At 58.5% G+C, this 17,196-nt stretch overlaps 1 protein-coding gene across 61 annotated transcripts in view; it reads right to left on the bottom strand.

Annotated features, from left to right (window-relative positions):
- The window catches only part of PPP6R2 (protein phosphatase 6 regulatory subunit 2), a 114,317-nt gene that overhangs the window by 1,932 nt on the left and 95,189 nt on the right, over positions 1 to 17,196 (bottom strand). For 14 of the 61 annotated variants that reach the window (XM_047441654.1, XM_047441645.1, XM_017029120.2 and 11 more), the window contains 12 exons: positions 11,777 to 11,986; positions 10,830 to 10,894; positions 8,078 to 8,193; positions 6,707 to 6,792; positions 6,091 to 6,171; positions 5,556 to 5,653; positions 5,259 to 5,316; positions 4,861 to 4,985; positions 4,397 to 4,560; positions 3,302 to 3,458; positions 3,110 to 3,198; positions 2,133 to 2,337 (listed from right to left, as the gene is read on the bottom strand). In XM_047441654.1, the coding sequence (XP_047297610.1) occupies positions 2,133 to 2,337; positions 3,110 to 3,198; positions 3,302 to 3,458; positions 4,397 to 4,560; positions 4,861 to 4,985; positions 5,259 to 5,316; positions 5,556 to 5,653; positions 6,091 to 6,171; positions 6,707 to 6,792; positions 8,078 to 8,193; positions 10,830 to 10,894; positions 11,777 to 11,986 (1,454 nt within the window). Of the gene's footprint in view, positions 1 to 2,132; positions 2,359 to 3,109; positions 3,199 to 3,301; positions 3,462 to 4,396; positions 4,561 to 4,860; positions 4,986 to 5,258; positions 5,317 to 5,555; positions 5,654 to 6,090; positions 6,172 to 6,706; positions 6,793 to 8,077; positions 8,194 to 10,829; positions 10,895 to 11,776; positions 11,987 to 17,196 lie in introns of all 61 variants that reach the window. The other 47 variants (XM_011530737.3, XM_011530732.3, XM_011530736.4 and 44 more) reach the window with 7 other exon arrangements.

Raw genomic sequence — 17,196 nt, 5'->3', positions numbered from 1 at the left:
TTTTGTTTTTGCCGACAGTCAGTCTCTCTCATGCGCAGGCCGGAGTGCAGTGGCGTGATCTCGGCTCACTGGTTCAAGCGATTCTCCTGCCTCAGCCTCCCAAGTAGCTGGGACTACAGGCGCCTGCCACCACGCCTGGCTAATTTTTGTATTTTTAGTAGAGACGGGTTTTCGCCATGTTGGCCAGGCTGGTCTCGAACTCCCGACCTCAGGTGATCCACCCACCTCGGCCTCCCAAAGTGCTGGGATTACAGGCGTGAGCCACTGTGCCTGGCAGGGTAAAGACTGTTAAGAATTTCAGTGACTAGGCCAGGCGCGGTGGCTCACACCTGTAATCCCAGCACTTTGGGAGGCCGAGGCAGGCGGATCATGAGGTCAGGAGATCGAGACCATACTGGCTAACACAGTGAAACCCCGTCTCTACTAAAAATACAAAAAATTAGCCGGGCCTGGTGGTGGCGGATGCCTGTAGTCCCAGCTACTTGGGAGACTGAGGCAGGAGAATGGCGTGAACCCGGGAGGCGGAGGTTGCAGGGAGCCAAGATTGCGCCACTGCACTCCAGCCTGGGCAACAGAGCAAGACTCTGTCTCAAACAAACAAACAAAAATTTCAGTGACTAAACTTTAAGAAGGAATGAAGCCCACACAGGAACTCTGTATGACTTTCAACCCGAGGGGCTCTGGCCTGGGCTTCCCAGTGACTGCCGGCATCGGGAAACGGCCTTGGCCCCGTTTCCCGTGCTGTGCCCCCCACTTGCTGCAGATGCCCTGAAGACAGGGTGGCCAAACAAGGGGAGGAGCTGTGAGCACAGACGGGGCCTGCTGGTCAACAGGGCGGGGAGAGCCAGCCTGGTGCTGAGCTTGCAGCTTGGCTGGGGGAGATGCCCGGAGCCCCAGTACCACACAGACTCTCCAGGATTGCCGGGGGTCAGTGAGCAGGACCCTCTGAGGTGTCAGGCCTGCCCCACCTGTGGGGGAAGGGTAGTACAGGTGGGACGCATGCAGGCTGAGCTGCATTGGGCGGTGAGGCTGGGGGACACCCTCACCCCGCTCCAGGCAGGCCCTTCACAACCATGGAGCCAGGAGTGACTGGGATGCACCACCAGATGTGAAAGGCACCTTGTCCCCTCCTAGAGGAATCCAGCCCGAGGACTTCCCCACTGTTGCCTGGACCTACTGGGAGCTCAGGCCTCAGGGTCTTTGCACAGCTGTGCCGTTGCTGGGTGCGCCCTCCTCCCCACGTCAAGCCCAGTCCTACCCTCCCCCTCAGGTTTACCTGGCCCTGGCATCTACCCCAGCGGTCCTGCCCTCCTGCTAACCCACGCCCTGACCCCAGAGGCCAGAGAGGTATCTGTTTACTGAAGGATCCCAGGGACCTTCCTGTGGCCCTGGGGACGGATGGGGTTCAGCTTGCTGGAGGGGCCGGCCAGCCTCCAACCTCCTCACAGGGAGAGCCTCCCTCTCCACTCTCTCCCCAGGGATGGCTCTTGGGGGCTCAAGGGAGCCTGGGCCTCTGCCAGCCTGCAAGCTGCCTCCAACTCTCAGTCAGGATTTGGATGCCCCCAGTGCAGTCCTGAGGCCGCCGCCCCCCATCCTACTATCCTGCTTCTGAGGCGTCTCGGAATCATAGGCCTCCCGTGGAAGGGGAGCAGCAGGCGAGGTCTGCGTGAGCCCCACAGATGCCCGCTCGCCTGCCAGACTTAAAAGTCTGTGCCCCTCCCCGACCACCAGGGTACCCAGATCCCAGGCGGCTCAGCCAGGCCCAGAGCCCCAAGAGCTGGGCTGTTCTCTCCAACTGGGATCTGGGGTAGGGGCTGCTCCCCCAAGTCCCTGGGGGACTGTCTGGGACATCCAGGCCCTGTCTTCTTGTCTTAACCACTCACAACAGAGAACACGATGTTCTGTCCACGAAAGAAGGCCCCACACTTCTCCCATCTGGCCTCCACGTAAACGCGTGGGCACCACCGCCGCCTCAGCCAGCCTCTGAAGGGTCACGGGGCCATGGGGGAGGCAGTGTGGAGAAGACCCTGGCCTGGCCTCACCTCCTCTCAGGGGAGCTGAGACCTGGGGACAGAGCCTGGAAGCCACGCCCTATGCACCCGGCAGGCCCGCCCCCGCCACGCCCCACACACCTGCCGACAGCCTCCTCTGTCCTGGCCACTGTGGGCAGCGGGGGGGCCTCCCGGCCGGGACCCCTGCTCACCGCATCCATGGCACTCGCTGCCTTCTGGTCGCCATCCTCGCTGTGGGAGCCCCCAGAGGAGCTACTGTCAGAGGCCAGCAGGGGGGCCTTCCTGGTGACACACACGTTCCAGGCACATGGAGAAGCCGGGCTGACTGCAAAGTAGGAGGCCTGTGCTGTCCAGTGAGGCAGGAGGGGTCACAGGGTGCGGCCACTCCAGCCATAGGGTCCCCATACATGTGGCCCTCTCACATGCAGCCTGTTGCCTGCACACATGTGCCTGTGTGGGAGCCGCATGATGAGGCAGACAGGCTCACGCACCTGCCATGGGGTCTCCACACAAACAACCCTGTTGCCTCCCCCATGATACAGGGACACATGCCCTGGTCTCACAGGAGGACGCAGAGGCTCAGGGAGGGGCCCACTCCGCCTCGTGTGGTCCTGCCACAGCTCCTTTAAGCCCAAAGGACCCCAAAACCGGGGACACCAGTGTTGGGAGCCAGCTGTCACTCACCTGGAGCTCTCAGCCTTATCTGGGGGAGCTTCTGAGCCTGACTAGGGGGCTGGGGGCCAGGGGCTCTGATCAGGCCACAGAACAGCTTCCTGCCAACAACCCACCCACACACATCTCAATGCTGGGGTCCCAGTGCTGCTGTCCGGAATCCAGGGTGCAGACCTGAGCTGTGCCACCTACTCAGACCAGGCTCAGAGCCAGCCCAATGGCCTTGCTGCCTCCCCTCTGGGGGCCTCCCCATCTACACGTGGCTGCTCCAGTCCCATTGCTGTATCAAACCCCAATGTCACCAGAGACGTAGCAGCATGCGAGGCCCCGGCCACCTCCTCCCACTGCCCCCAAGGAGGGGGGCCAGCTGGCCTCAGGCCTTAAACTGGGCAAGGCTGGGTGCCGCCTGCACTGCTCCTACTCACAGGCTTTCTCAGGGCCTTGGCTCCGGCTGCCCTCAGCATGGCTGCATTCTGTGTCCACCGGAGAGCTGCACCTGGGCCCTGACTCGGAGCTGCATACAAGGACGAGGACAGGATCAGTCCTGGGGGACAGGTGCCTCCTGGCCCTGACAGGCACTTCCTGGCACAGCCCCCTCCTGCCAGCGCATTTGTTACCAGCAGAAAGGTTGGAAGTCAGTGAACTTGGCCCAGCCTTTCTCCTCTGGAGCTGAGGTGCCAGCTGCCCACACACTGGAACCCACGTCCCTCACCACTCCTGGGGCTGTGGGCGTTGAGTTCGCTGGCTCATCAAACACTGCCGTCCACATGGCGCCTGCTGGGGGAGAGACACAGTGGTCAGGCGTGGGCAGGCCTGGGGTGCTGCAGGCAAAGGGGAGGCAGCGCCCCTGCCCCGGGAGCCCCTCAGAGGTTGACAGGAAGATGGGGCTGCTCCAGGAGGGAGGCCCAGGCAGTGCCCGTCAGCCCCTCAAGGAGCAACAGGGGACAGCTCGAGGGTCCTGACAAGCTGCCGACACCCATGGGGCGTGTGACCTGGGGCTCAGTCAGGTGCCTGAGGGCCCCCAGGCCTCCAGCAGGACTGACACTGACAGTGTGGAGGTGATGCCACTGCCCTGTCCTACCCAGGACCGCAACCCACAGAGCCGGCAGCTCACCGAGCACCACTGGCCCCTTCCTGGCCTCGAGGATGGGGTGTCTTCCTCCTATCTGGGATGTTCCTGCTTCCCCAGGGTGTCACCCTTGCTCTGTCAGCGAAGAGCTCAGCCCCTCCTAACAGAGATCTCTGCCCCCGCCACCAAAGTCCTGAGTGCCTCAGTGCTGCCCCCAGGGCAGGGTAAGGAGAGGGGTCTCATCAGCCATGCGGCCTGTGAGGTGGACTGGCTCCTGCCATAGATGTCGGCCATGAAGGTGGCGGCCGGCCTGTGCTGCTGTGCTGGGGAGGGCGTCAGGCCTGTGCCTGACTGTGTGGGGGCTGGACGGACGATGGAGACTAGGTGGACACCACCCACCAGCCTTGGCAACGTGGCTGAGTGACCACAACTGCAAGGCAGGGGCAGGAGGCCACCTTGCGCTGGGCACAGCGCAGCACAGACCCCTACTCAGGACGGCTGGGAAATAGCTGGGGATTCAGGCTCCGGGCCACAGTGAGCCCCAAATGCCTCAGCTCCAAATGAAGCCTCCACAACACCCAGGCCGGGGTACCATGTCCTGTCCCCGATACCCACACTCCCAGCCCCTGGCGCCCAGCACCACCTTCTGAGTCACCCTCCACAGGGGGCGCTTCCTTCTTCCCGGGGGCCGGTGGGGCACCTGCCCCAGGTGCATCTCTGTGTGCTTCCAAGCTCGCCTTCCCATCCTGGCCTCCACGCTCTGGGCCATTCTTTGAGCAACTCTCTGAAGCATGGGGGGCTCCAAACCTGGGGGAGATTCAGAGTCAGATGTCTGGTGGCCCAGGACGGACGCCTAACATGGAGGGTCAGTGGCGGCCCCAGGCTCGGGGCTGAGGGTGAGCACAGATCGTCTCGAGAGAGGAGCACGAGACGCTCCAGGCCTCAGCTCTGGGCTCCTTAGGGTCACCCGCTGCATTGGGCCCCAGAGCTGGCAGGACAGGTGTGGCTGCTCTGCAAGCCAGCTAACGAACCACAGGGCGTCTGACAGGTGTTCTGGGGGCTGAACCTCCTCGGCAGAGGCTTTGTGGGGATGGGCAGGCCCCGCACCTGGGTCTGGCCATCACCCGGGCAGCACAGCGAGTGTCACTGTCCTCCCAGATGTCCTCGTCCTCATCATCATCAAAGGGCTGGATGCGGTCACTGCAGCAGGCCTCAAACAGAGCTGCGCTGGGCTGCAGAGTAAAACGCCAAGGTGAGTTTCCAGAGGGTCTGGGGGAGACAGGAGCCGCTCTCCCCATAGAGCTCCCAGAGGGGCTTAGTTCGGGATGTGGGAGCCCCGGGCTGGAGGGGAGGACGGGGAGGGGCAAGGAAAGCGACTGTTCCGAGCTCCACAGAGGGGCCTCTCCCAGCCCCACCGCACAGGCCCATGACAGACCGAGCCATGGGCATGGCCTGAGCTGCCTGGGAAAAGGGTGGCGGCACCCCACACAGCCCGGCTTGCTCACACTGTCCTCGTCAGCGTCGATGTTGAAGTTGATCTCTGCGATCCTGTCAAACGGGGCACTGCAAGAGCAAGGGGGATGGCTTCAGCGTTCCTCCAGGCCCACTGCTCATCTGGGGCCTCAGTGCTCCTCCCCCGGTGCTCATCGGGGGCCTCAGCACCCTCACACAACTGGGAACACCTGCTGTCTCCCGGGGACATCAGACGGCACTCCCGGCAAGACCTCAGGGAGCTGCCTCCACGGGAGCTCAGCAGCAGGGAGAGCCGCGCCTCGTGCAGAGTGCGCTCCAAGTAGACTCACTTGATGTTGTCGTCCTGGTCGGCAAACTCCTCATCATTGAAGCCAAACTGATCCACGAAGTTGGCTGTCATCTGCTGGATCTGGTAGTCAGAGAAGGCCTGGGAGGGAGGGAGGGAGGGAGGGACGGACAGACACCGGTCATGGAGGAGGCATCAGGCCTGGAGGCTGCTCTTTGGGAACCACAATCTCTCTAGTTGTTCGGGAGCTTCTCCTCCAGCACAAGTGGGCAGTAAACTCTGTTCAGGGCTCACGATTCTACCAAAACTCAGGCTGCGCGCTCGCTGCGGTCACATCTGAGATACGCCCCATATTCTCTGACTTTCGAGTCCATCTGCCGTGTCCTCAGTGCTCTCATCAAGGTGGAGTGACTTTGGGGTTCTCCCTTCAGACCCACCCCGCCCCATACGTGCTCGGAGACGAGCCCCCGCTCCCCTTTGCTAGTGAGATGCCATCAGACTCGTCTGGAGGACCAAGCGCAGCGCACACAGGTGCCGGGAAGGGCCCGGCAGGGTGCAGGTGCCGGCCACGCCCTCACCTGCTGAAGGGACAGCTCGTTAGGGAAAGCACCCTCAATGTCCTCGTCCTCACTTGAGGAGTGAAGGTGGTGAGTGCTCACCTAAAACACAGGCCAGATGGGGTGGGCGTGTGAGCCAGCCCAGCGCCCCAGACCCCACCCAGCCCAGCGCCCAGGACCATGCCCAGCCCAGGGCTCCCAGACCCCACCCAGCACATCACTCATCAGATCTCTGGGCCCAGGAGGCCGTGCTGTGTAAGGAGGTGCCTAGGTGAGGCCAAGGCCCCGTGACAGCCCGACCTCCATGTGCAGGGGGCAGGTTGTGGGTCTCAGGCAAAAGGAGCCCTCTGCCAACAAGCTACAGCTCCTGGAGTGGGAGGAAAGGGACCTGAGGCCAACACCGGCTCTGCACAGAGGTCCTCAGAGACCCAGCCCTGGGTGTGGCACAGGACGGGGTCTCTGTTACGGACATCAGCCCGGAGGACACACTATGCAGGGGCACCGCATAGTCAAGAGGAGCAGGCAGGCGTGCGGCCCTTGTGCCTCCCTTGGCCTCTGCCTCAGGGCAAAGGCAGGAGCGTCTGACGGCGTCCCAGCACCGTGCGTGCACCGAGGGGGCAGCCCCGAGCCTCCTCACCAGGTCCACAGTGTTCCTGCGGTTCGTCTCCGTCAGCGTCTCCTCCACGAAGCTCTCCCAGCGGCCACGGCAGTCCGCAGGGAGCCCTGCAAGGGAAGTGCTGCCTGGTGAGCCCTGGGAGACCCCGTGCAGATGGTGCAGGGCACCCGGGGGCTCCGGCAGGTGCATCCTGGGTCCGGGAGGATGGGGCGCTGCTACTGTGGTCAGCCCGTCTGAGGGCCTGAAGCAGGGGCTTTGCCGGATGAGAAAGAGGCAGCATAGCCGCGTGTCCGGAGGGGCCTGGGGCCACAGTGAGATTGAGGTGCAGCACCTGTGGGCAGGGTGGTGGGCACTTCTGCCCCTACCGAAACCCCAGTGGGCATCTGAGTTCCAAGTCTGTTGGGTGGAAGCCCATTCTGAGGAACTCCCAGAAACGCAGAAGCCGTGGAACAGAATCTGAGAAAGCAGCCAGCTTCCTTCCCCCCACCTCACAGGCCCAAACTCAGCAGCAGCCTACAGGCCTGGGCGCGTGTCCTGCCTGTTTTTCCGGGGAGGTCAGAGTCCTGGAAGGATTCACAATCTGGAGATCGTATGGAATGATCCAACAGCTTCCTGCTTGCCCCTCGCCTCCTTAAACTGCCCCTGCCCTGGGGAGCTGTCCCTGGCCTCCACCTCCACCCATCTACTTTGCCCTCCAGGATGTGGGGAAGCTCCTCCTGCCCTGCTTTTATTATTTGTGATGGCAGCCGGCAGGCCTGACCTCGCCAGGGGCTAATGGAGCCCAACCCAGGAGTCCCCTCACTATGGTCCTGGGGTGCGGGGAGGACTATCCAGAGCTTCCTCACCTTACACGGGTATAGGGAGGAGAGGCCACAGCTGGGCCCGCCTCTGCCACACATGTGCTGTGCCTGCGCCCACCTAACCCACTGCGTTCTTAAGAAACAGGCTGCAACCTGCTCCCCTGAGACTTGTGCTACGAAATCTCACACCTGAGTGAGAATGAGACTCTCCAATCACCTGAGTGCAGAGCACACAGCCAGGACAGCCTAGCCAGGCAGGGCTCCCTGAGCTGCAAGGAGCCCGGTGGCGCTAACGGCTTCTGAGTGCCAGCTCCGGAGTCACCAACTACCCCGGGAGGGACTGTCTCTTGTGCCACACGCTGACGCCTGGCAGGGTCTCCACAGAAGTCCGCCCAATAGAACTGACACATGAGACCCAGGCCCCCACGAGGAGAGATGTGATGTGTGAAGTGAGAGGACAGAGGTGGCCATGGGTCTCTCACTGTCAGTGCAGTCAGCACCTGCTGCCGGGCAGAGCTTAGTCTCAGGCGGCAGCTCCTTCGGGGTCCCGGTGCCCGCGACCAGCAGAAGGATGACCGGGTTGGGGGCTCACCTCGGATGACCTCGCTGATGTGCGTCTGCACAGGGCCCCGCTCCAGGTTCTGCACCACCGCGTTGGCGATCCGTGTGAGGTGGCCCATGTTCCCACGTCTCATGCCACCCGCTGCCCTGAAAGCAACAGGCACCATCGGGGCGGCCTCCTGGCCCCGACCTTGCCAGACCCACGACCCAGAGAGCCAAGTGGCAGAGGCCTCCAGGTTCACTTCGGAGAGCAAGTGCCCGGCCCCTGCCCAGTGTCCGCGCCCCCGGCCCTCCTCCAGGTTCACCTCCAGAGCAAATGCCCGGCCCCTGCCCAGCATCCATGCCCCCGGCCCTCCTCCAGGTTCACCTCCAGGGCAAGTGCCCGGCCCCTGCCCAGTGTCCGCGCACCCGGCCCTCCTCCAGGTTCACCTCCAGGGCAAGTGCCCGGCCCCTGCCCAGCATCCATGCCCCCGGCCCTCCTCCAGAGCAAATGCCCGGCCCCTGCCCAGCATCCATGCCCCCGGCCCTCCTCCAGGTTCACCTCCAGGGCAAATGCCCGGCCCCTGCCCAGCGTCCGCGCCCCCGGCCCTCCTCCAGGTTCACCTCCAGGGCAAATGCCCGGCCCCTGCCCAGCATCCATCCCCCGGCCCTCCTCCAGGTTCACCTCCAGAGCAAATGCCCGGCCCCTGCCCAGCGTCCGCGCCCCCGGCCCTCCTCCAGGTTCACCTCCAGGGCAAATGCCCGGCCCCTGCCCAGCATCCATGCCCCCGGCCCTCCTCCAGGTTCACCTCCAGAGCAAATGCCCGGCCCCTGCCCAGCATCCATGCCCCCGGCCCTCCTCCAGGTTCACCTCCAGGGCAAGTGCCCGGCCCCTGCCCAGCATCCATGCCCCCAGCCCTCCTCCAGGTTCACCTCCAGAGCAAATGCCCAGCCCCTGCCCAGCGTCTGCGCCCCCGGCCCTCCTCCAGGTTCACCTCCAGAGCAAATGCCCGGCCCCTGCCCAGCATCCATGCCCCCGGCCCTCCTCCAGGTTCACCTCCAGGGCAAATGCCCGGCCCCTGCCCAGCGTCCGCGCCCCCGGCCCTCCTCCAGGTTCACCTCCAGAGCAAATGCCCGGCCCCTGCCCAGCATCCATGCCCCCGGCCCTCCTCCAGGTTCACCTCCAGAGCAAATGCCCGGCCCCTGCCCAGCGTCTGCGCCCCCGGCCCTCCTCCAGGTTCACCTCCAGAGCAAATGCCCGGCCCCTGCCCAGCATCCATGCCCCCGGCCCTCCTCCAGGTTCACCTCCAGGGCAAATGCCCGGCCCCTGCCCAGCATCCATGCCCCCGGCCCTCCTCCAGGTTCACCTCCAGGGCAAATGCCTGGCCCCTGCCCAGCGTCCGCGCCCCCGGCCCTCCTCCAGGTTCACCTCCAGAGCAAATGCCCGGCCCCTGCCCAGCATCCATGCCCCCGGCCCTCCTCCAGGTTCACCTCCAGAGCAAATGCCCGGCCCCTGCCCAGCATCCATGCCCCCGGCCCTCCTCCAGGTTCACCTCCAGAGCAAATGCCCGGCCCCTGCCCAGCGTCCGCGCCCCCAGCCCTCCTCCAGGTTCACCTCCAGAGCAAATGCCCGGCCCCTGCCCAGCGTCCGCACCCCCAGCCCTCCTCCAGGTTCACCTCCAGGGCAAGTGCCCGGCCCCTGCCCAGCATCCATGCCCCCAGCCCTCCTCCAGGTTCACCTCCAGAGCAAATGCCCGGCCCCTGCCCAGCGTCCGCGCCCCCAGCCCTCCTCCAGGTTCACCTCCAGGGCAAGTGCCCGGCCCCTGCCCAGCATCCATGCCCCCGGCCCTCCTCCAGGTTCACCTCCAGAGCAAATGCCCGGCCCCTGCCCAGCGTCCGCGCCCCCTGCCCTCCTCCAGGTTCACCTCCAGAGCAAATGCCCGGCCCCTGCCCAGTGTCCGCGCCCCCTGCCCTCCTCCAGGACACTTCTGTTTGAGTAGCACCTGCCACGTGCAGCAGGCTCACCCCAACCTCACTACCAAAAGTGCCACTGAGACAGATGAGGAAACAGACACTGCTCTCACTCCATTTTACAGACAGGGAAATGGAGGCAGAAAGGCCGTGGCGTGGCCTAAGTCCCGCTGGTGGCAGCAGTGGCGCAGGAGGTGAGCCCATGCTGCCAGCTACCAAGCTCAGGCTCAGCACCCCAAGGGGAGGGTTGGGCGGGACCTCCATGCTGTACAGCCCAGCTCGGCCTCTGCTTCCCCACAGCTGCACTCAGACCCCTCCCAGCTCCCTGGAGTCCCTCCTCATATCGCCCAGAGCCAGACAGTTCCCAGCAGGACAGCAAACGGGTGGGGATGGCTCTGGGCCCACGACAATAAGCGGGACATGTGTCCTGACCAGAGGGAGCACCCATTAAGCAGAAGATGGAAAGACCAAAATAACGCGTCCCTGTGTGCGAGTGCTGACGGAGGGCCCGAGTTCCTGGGGAAGATCAGGAACGGACAGCGGACCCACAAGAGGGCAAAGCCAGGCTGGGCGGGGGCCAGAGCAGGTGCCTGGTGGGGACGGGACCGCTTCCTGTCGGCTCCCTGTGTCCCCTCCCCAAGTAGCATTTGCAGCTGTCCGCCCAGTAGAAGGGCCCCTTGCACAGCAGCCCCAGAACGTGGAGCCACGTCGCACACCCTACACTCCACCCGATCCTGCAGTCCTGCACGCAGCGTCACCAGGGCTTGGGTGAGGTGCGTCTCTGCATCCCTGACTGGCCAGGCTGGGTCCCTCCACGTCCGAGCGGCTCTTACTGCGTGTGGTCGTTGGCTTCCCAGGCCTCCAGGATCCTCTGCACCAGGCAGCACTTCTGGAACAGCTGGGGGGCGGGGCAGGGGGACAGCGTGAGTCAGGGTCTGAAGGCGGCACGCACCCCTCCACCCATCCCTGGACTGGGCAGGGCTGGCTGGCGGCCACGTCTGTGTGGACTTTGCAGGCCCTGACTGCTGCGCACGCACAGCCCCAGCCTCCGCGGTCCTCACCAAACACCAGAGGAGGGTGCGGTTCGGGGCTCATACTGCTGAGCGCCCTAAAGATGAAGCCCGAGAAAAGGACCCTCTCCCTTCTCCTCCAACTCCTGGAATTGCCCCCTGACCCCTGTCTTCCCCTGGGCCTTCTCCCCGTCTCTCCATTGCCCTCCACTTTGGCCACTCTCCTGCCCTCTTTCTCTGTGTCCGGAAGAACGACTAGGGCTGTCTGCCCTCAGCACTTTCTCTCACCTCCAGGCCCTGACACAGATCACTTCTTGTACCTGAGATGTTTTTCCTGGGCTCCACCTCACACTACGATATACCTGTGGCCTTGCTATCCGGGTGACAGTCCCTGGTTGGCCTGCATGTCCCTCAGCATCCCCTCCCCACCGTGTGGCTCCCATCACTGACACTGCTGGCTCCCTGGGCATTTATTCCCTGGGCCTCCAGCTGGAGGCCAGACTGAACTCATCTCATCCAGTGCTAACCCTTGCCAGGCCTGCACGTGGAAGGCACCAGTACCCCTGCTGAAGGCAGGTAGGAATGAGATCTGCAAGACCCACTCAAGCCCCACTGTCTACGAGCGTCTGACCAGACACCTGGGGACCCTTTTCAAAGCCCTGCCCCCGTGTCAGCTGCACAGTGAGGTCCGGCACACGTCAGCGCTGACATGGACACGGTCTGAGTGGGGCGCAGTTGGCGCTGATAAGATGGATGCTTCTTGGACTCACGTGGGTCACCATTGTGTTGTCAGGGAGGCTGGCGGCCGGCTGGGGAGTCTCCAGGCTCCGGTTCCCGTTCTCATGCGGAGGCTCCACCCTGCTCTCGGATCCGCTGGCTTCTGTCCTCTCCTCACGGGCAGCGTGGGAGAGAATAGCGGCTATGCATAGTTCCACTTGGAAGTGCAAAAAGTTATTCCAGGTGTACTTAAAGAACAAGTCCTGGGTAAACAGAGGACAGAAGACAGTTCTTAGATCGGTTTTCTCCTGCCGGCTACACCACAAAGCTGAGGGAAACCCTTCCTAAAGGTGGCGTCCTAACTCCTCACAAGTCCAGTCTCTGGGTAGCTAGGAAGGAGTTTTAAGCGTTTTCCTGAGGGTCATCTCTCTATTACGGAGCTTCTTCAAATAGCCACTGAGCACTTCTGCCTCCTGCCTGTGGGTGTCTGTTGGTCTCTGCTTCAATCTGAATCATCACCTTTCTACTTTCTGCGGGTTTATTCTTTTTTTTTTTTTTTTTTGAGACGGAGTCTTGCTTTGTCTCCCAGGCTAGAGTGCAGTGGCACGATCTCGGCTCACTGCAACCCCTGCCTCCTGGGTTCAAGTGATTCTCCTGCCTCAGCCTCCCTGGTAGCTGGGATTACAGGTGCCCACCACCATGCCCAGCTAATTTTTGTATTTTTAGTAGAGACGGGATTTTGCCATGTTGGTCAGGCTGGTCTTGAACTTCCAACCTCAGGTGATCTGCCCGCCTCCGCCTCCCAAAGTGCTGGGATGACAGGCATAAGTCACCAGGCCTGGCTTCTTTTGTCCTTCAGTTGGAAGCTCAACTCATTAATTGCAGCCTTTCTTTCCAGTCTGTCTTTAAAGGCTACATTTCCCTGTATACAATCAACTTTAACTACATTCTACACATTTTGCTAAGTAGTATTTTTATGATTCTTCAGTTCTAAGTATGTGAGAAGTTCCTTTATGATTCTGTCTTTCTCATGAATTATTGGAAGTGTGTTAGACTCTCAAGCACATGAGGATTCCACCCAGGATGGGCAGGCGTGTGCATATCGTCCACCACACAAACGTGAGACTGTGAGGGGCACATTCAGACACTCCCCAAGGGAGCCCAGACTTAACCAGCATGGGCTGAAGCCCAGAGGTGGTTCTGGCCACCTAGATACTCCCCTGGGGGACAGAGGTGGCTGAACGAGGACAGCTGCCATCTCTCACCTCCCATGTAGCTTCTTCCAGATGAGGACAGAGAGGGGGACATAGGTCTGACGCACTCGCCCCCCACTGCCGTCTCTTACATTCCAGGGCCACGGCAGCCTGTGTCCCAGACCCTCTTCTGCCTCCATGGAGAAGGAGGACTGTATGGAGAGGGGAATGGGGTGAGGTGTATATTCCACACCAGGATTCGAGCTTGGGCTCCTCGTTCCACACAGTGGGGTTGGAGCTAGAGAAAGGCAGGAGGCTCATTTGCTTCATGTTCTCCACAGAAACGTAGTCCTAAATCCTGGCTTCACCTTCTCTGCCCATGTGACCTTGAGCAACCTTGGAGGAGGCTTTCCTGTGTCACCTCATCTGTAACATGGAGTCAGACCTACCTCTCAACAAAAAGCCCGTACCAGATGGCTTTGCTGGTAAATTCTACCAAACATTTATTTTGTTGTTTGTTTTTCCTTTCCTGGCGATGAGGTCTACCAAACATTTAAAGAAGAGTTAACACTAATCCTTCTCAAACTCTTCCAAAAAACTAAGAGAGAATACTTTCTAATTCATTCTGTGAGGACAGAATTACCTCTGATACCAAAGCTGAATGAGGACACTACAAGAAAAGAAAACTACAAACCAATGTTCCTTATCAACATGGATGCAAAATACTAGCAAACCAAACTTAGCATCATATCAAAAGAATTATATACCAGGATAAAGTGGGATTTGCTCCTCAAATGCAAGGATGGATCGACGTATGAAAATCAATCAATACACCACATTAACAGGATAAAGGACGAAAGCCAAATGATCATCTCAACTCATACAAAAAAAATCTGATAAAATTCCACATACGGCCAGGTGCGGTGGCTCATGCCTGTAATCCCAACACTTTGGGAGGCCGAGGAGGGTGGATCACCTGAGGTCAGGAGTTCAAGACCAGCCTGGCCAACGTGGTGAAACCCCATCTTTACTGAAAATACAAAAATTAGCCGGGCATGGTGGCACACGCCTGTAATCCCAGCTACTTGGGAGGCTGAGGCAGGAGAATCGCCTGAGCCCAGGAGGCGGCGGTTGCCGTGAGCCAAGATCATGCCACTGCACTCCAGCCTGGGCAACAAGAGCAAAACTCTGTCTCAAAAAAAAAAAAAAATTCAACATACTTTCTTGATAGAACACTCAAACTAGGAATAGAAGGAAATATCTTCAGTATGATAAAGGCACCTATGAAAAGCCCATAGCTGACAACATATTCAATGCTGAAAGACTGAAAGCTTCTCTAAGATCAGGAGCGAGGCAAGGATGCCCACTCTCACCACTGCTATTCGGTCTTCTCTTAGCAGTCCCAGCCAGAGCAATTAGGCAAGAAAAAGAAATAAAAGGCATCCAAATGGTAAAGGCAAAAGTAAAATTATCTTTGTTCCCAAATGACATGATTTTTTTTTTTAGAATATGTATTTTTTTTTTGAGCAAGGATCTTGCTCTGTTGCCCTGGCTGAAGTACACACAGTGGCGTGATCTCGGCTCTGCAGCCCTGACCTCCCAGACTCAAGTGATCCTCCCTCTTCAGTCTCCTGAATAGCTGGGACTACAGATCTGTGCCACCACACCTGCCTAATTTTTATTCTTATTTATTTTGTAGAGACCAGGTCTCACTATGTTGCCCAGGCTGGTCTTAAACTCTTGGGTTCAAGCAATCCTCCTGTGTAGGCCTCCCAAAGTGCTGGGATTACAAACATGAGCCACCACACCTGACCTGATATGATCTTACACATAGAAAATTCTAAATATTCCAGATAAATTGCTAGAGCTAATAAATGAATTCAGCAAAGTTCTAGAATACAAAATTGACACACAAAAAAGCAGCTGCATTTCCATACACTAGCACTGAATAATCCAAAAAGGAAAGTAAGAAAACAATTTTATATATGACAGCATCCAGAAGAATTAAGTCAAGGAGATAAAAGATTTGTACACTGAAAACTACAAAACACTGCTACAAGAATTTAAAGACCTATTTAAAGTAAATGGGGCCAGGCACGGTGGCTCATGCCTATAATCCCAGCACTTTGGGAGGCCAATGTGGGCAGATCACTTGAGGTCAGGAGTTTGAGACCAACCTGGCCAACATGGTGAAACCCCATTTCTACTAAAAATATAAAAATTGGCTGGGCGTGGTGGCTCACGCCTATAATCCCAGCACTTTGGGAGGCCAAGGTGGGCGGATCACGAGGTCAGGAGATCGAGACCGTCCTGGCTAATATGGTGAAACCCTGTCTCTACTAAAAATACAAAAAATTAGCCACGCGAGGTAGCAGGCACCTGTAGTCCCAGCTACTTGGGAGGCTGAGGAAGGAGAATGGCGTGAACCTGGGGGGCGGAGCCTGCAGTGAGCCGAGATCGCGCCACTGCACTCCAGCCTGGGCGACAGCGAGACTCGGTCTCAAAAAAAACAAAACAAAACAAAAATTATTTTGTGGTGGCGGGCACCTGTAATCCCAGGTACTCATGAGGTTGAGGCAGGAGACTTGTTTGAACCCGGGAGGCAAAGGTTGCGGTGAGCCGAGATTGCGCCACTGCACTCCAGCCTGGGCAACAGGGTGAGGTTCTGTCTCAAAAATAGAAATAAATAAATAAATACATAGGAACACATCTGTGTTCATGGATTGAAGACTTAATATTGTTAAGAAGACAGTATTACCCAAAGTGATCTATAAATTCAATGCAATCCCTACCAAAATCTGAACAGCAATTTTGCAAACATTGAAAAACCCATCCCCAAATTCATACAGAATCTCACGGGATGACTTTGAATAGCCAAAACAATCTGGAAAAAGAACAAAGTTGGAAAACTCACACTTATCACTTACTACAAAGCTACAGTCACCAAAACAGTGCGACACTGGCATAAGGACAGACATATAAACCAACGAAACAGAACAGAGAGTCCAGAAAGAAACCTTTGCACACATCACCAGCTGTTTTTTTTTTTTTTTTGAGATGGAATCTCGCTCTGTTGCCCAGGCTGGAGTGCAGTGGCACAATCTCGGCTCACTGCAAGCTCCACCTCCCGGGTTCACACCATTCTCCTGCCTCAGCCTCCCAAGTAGCTGGGACTACAGGCACATGCCACCACACCCAGCTAATTTTTTCATATTTTTAGCAGAGACGGGGTTTCACTATGTTGGCCAGGATGGTCTCAATCTCCTGACCTCATGATCCACCCACCTCAGCCTCCCAAAGTGCTGGGATTACAGGCATGAGCCACTGCGCCCGGCCGGCCAGCTGGTTTTTAACAATTAGGCCGAGACCATTCATGGGGGAAAGGACGGTGTTTTTTTTTTTTTTTTTTGAAACAGAATCTCGCTCTGTCACCCAGGCTGGAGTGCAGTGGTGTGATCTTGGCTCACTGCAACCTCCGCCTCCCAGGTTCAAGTGATTCTCCTGCCTCAGCCTCCCAAGTAGCTGGGATTACAGGCGCTGCCACCATGCCTGGCTAATTTTTGTATTTTTTGTAGACATGGGGTTTCGCCACATTGGCCAGGCTGGTCACAAACTCCTGACCTCAGGTGATCTGCCTGCCTTGGCCTCCCAAAATACTGGGTTTACAGGCGTGAACCACCGTGCCCGGCCTAGGACAGTCTTTTCAACAAGTGCTGGGAAAACTGGATAACCCCATGCAAAAGAATGAAGCTGGACCCTTACTTTACACCAGATACAAAAATTAATTCAAAATGGATTAAAGACCTAAACATAAGAGAGAAAACATACAACTTTTTGAAGGAAGCATAGAGGAAAAGCTTCATGATACTGATTTGGCAATGACTTTTTTGGATATGACACCGAAAGCACAGGCAACAGAGAAAAAAAGATAATTGGATTTCATCAAAATTTAAAACTTGTGTGTCAAAGGTCATTATCAAGGAGTAAAGGCTGGGTGGCTGGTGGCTCACGCCTATAATTCCAGCACTTTGGGAGGCCACGGCCGGAGCATCACTTGAAGTCAGGAGTTCAAGGCCAGCCTGATCAACATAGCGAGACCCCATCTCTACAAAAAATATAAAAATTAGCTGGATGTGGTGGCGCATGCCTGCAGTCTTAGCTACTCAGGAGGCTGAGGTGGGAGGATCACTTGAGCCCAGGAGTTCAAGGTTACAGGAAGCTATGATCACTGTACTGCAAGACCCTACATCTAAAAAAAATTTTTTATGTAAAAAGATAAC

Source organism: Homo sapiens, chromosome 22 (assembly GCF_000001405.40).
Source record: "Homo sapiens chromosome 22, GRCh38.p14 Primary Assembly".
NCBI classification, from domain to species: Eukaryota; Metazoa; Chordata; class Mammalia; order Primates; family Hominidae; genus Homo; species Homo sapiens.
Note: the sequence above shows the minus strand (reverse complement) of the source record. Positions and strands in the feature narration are given on the sequence as shown.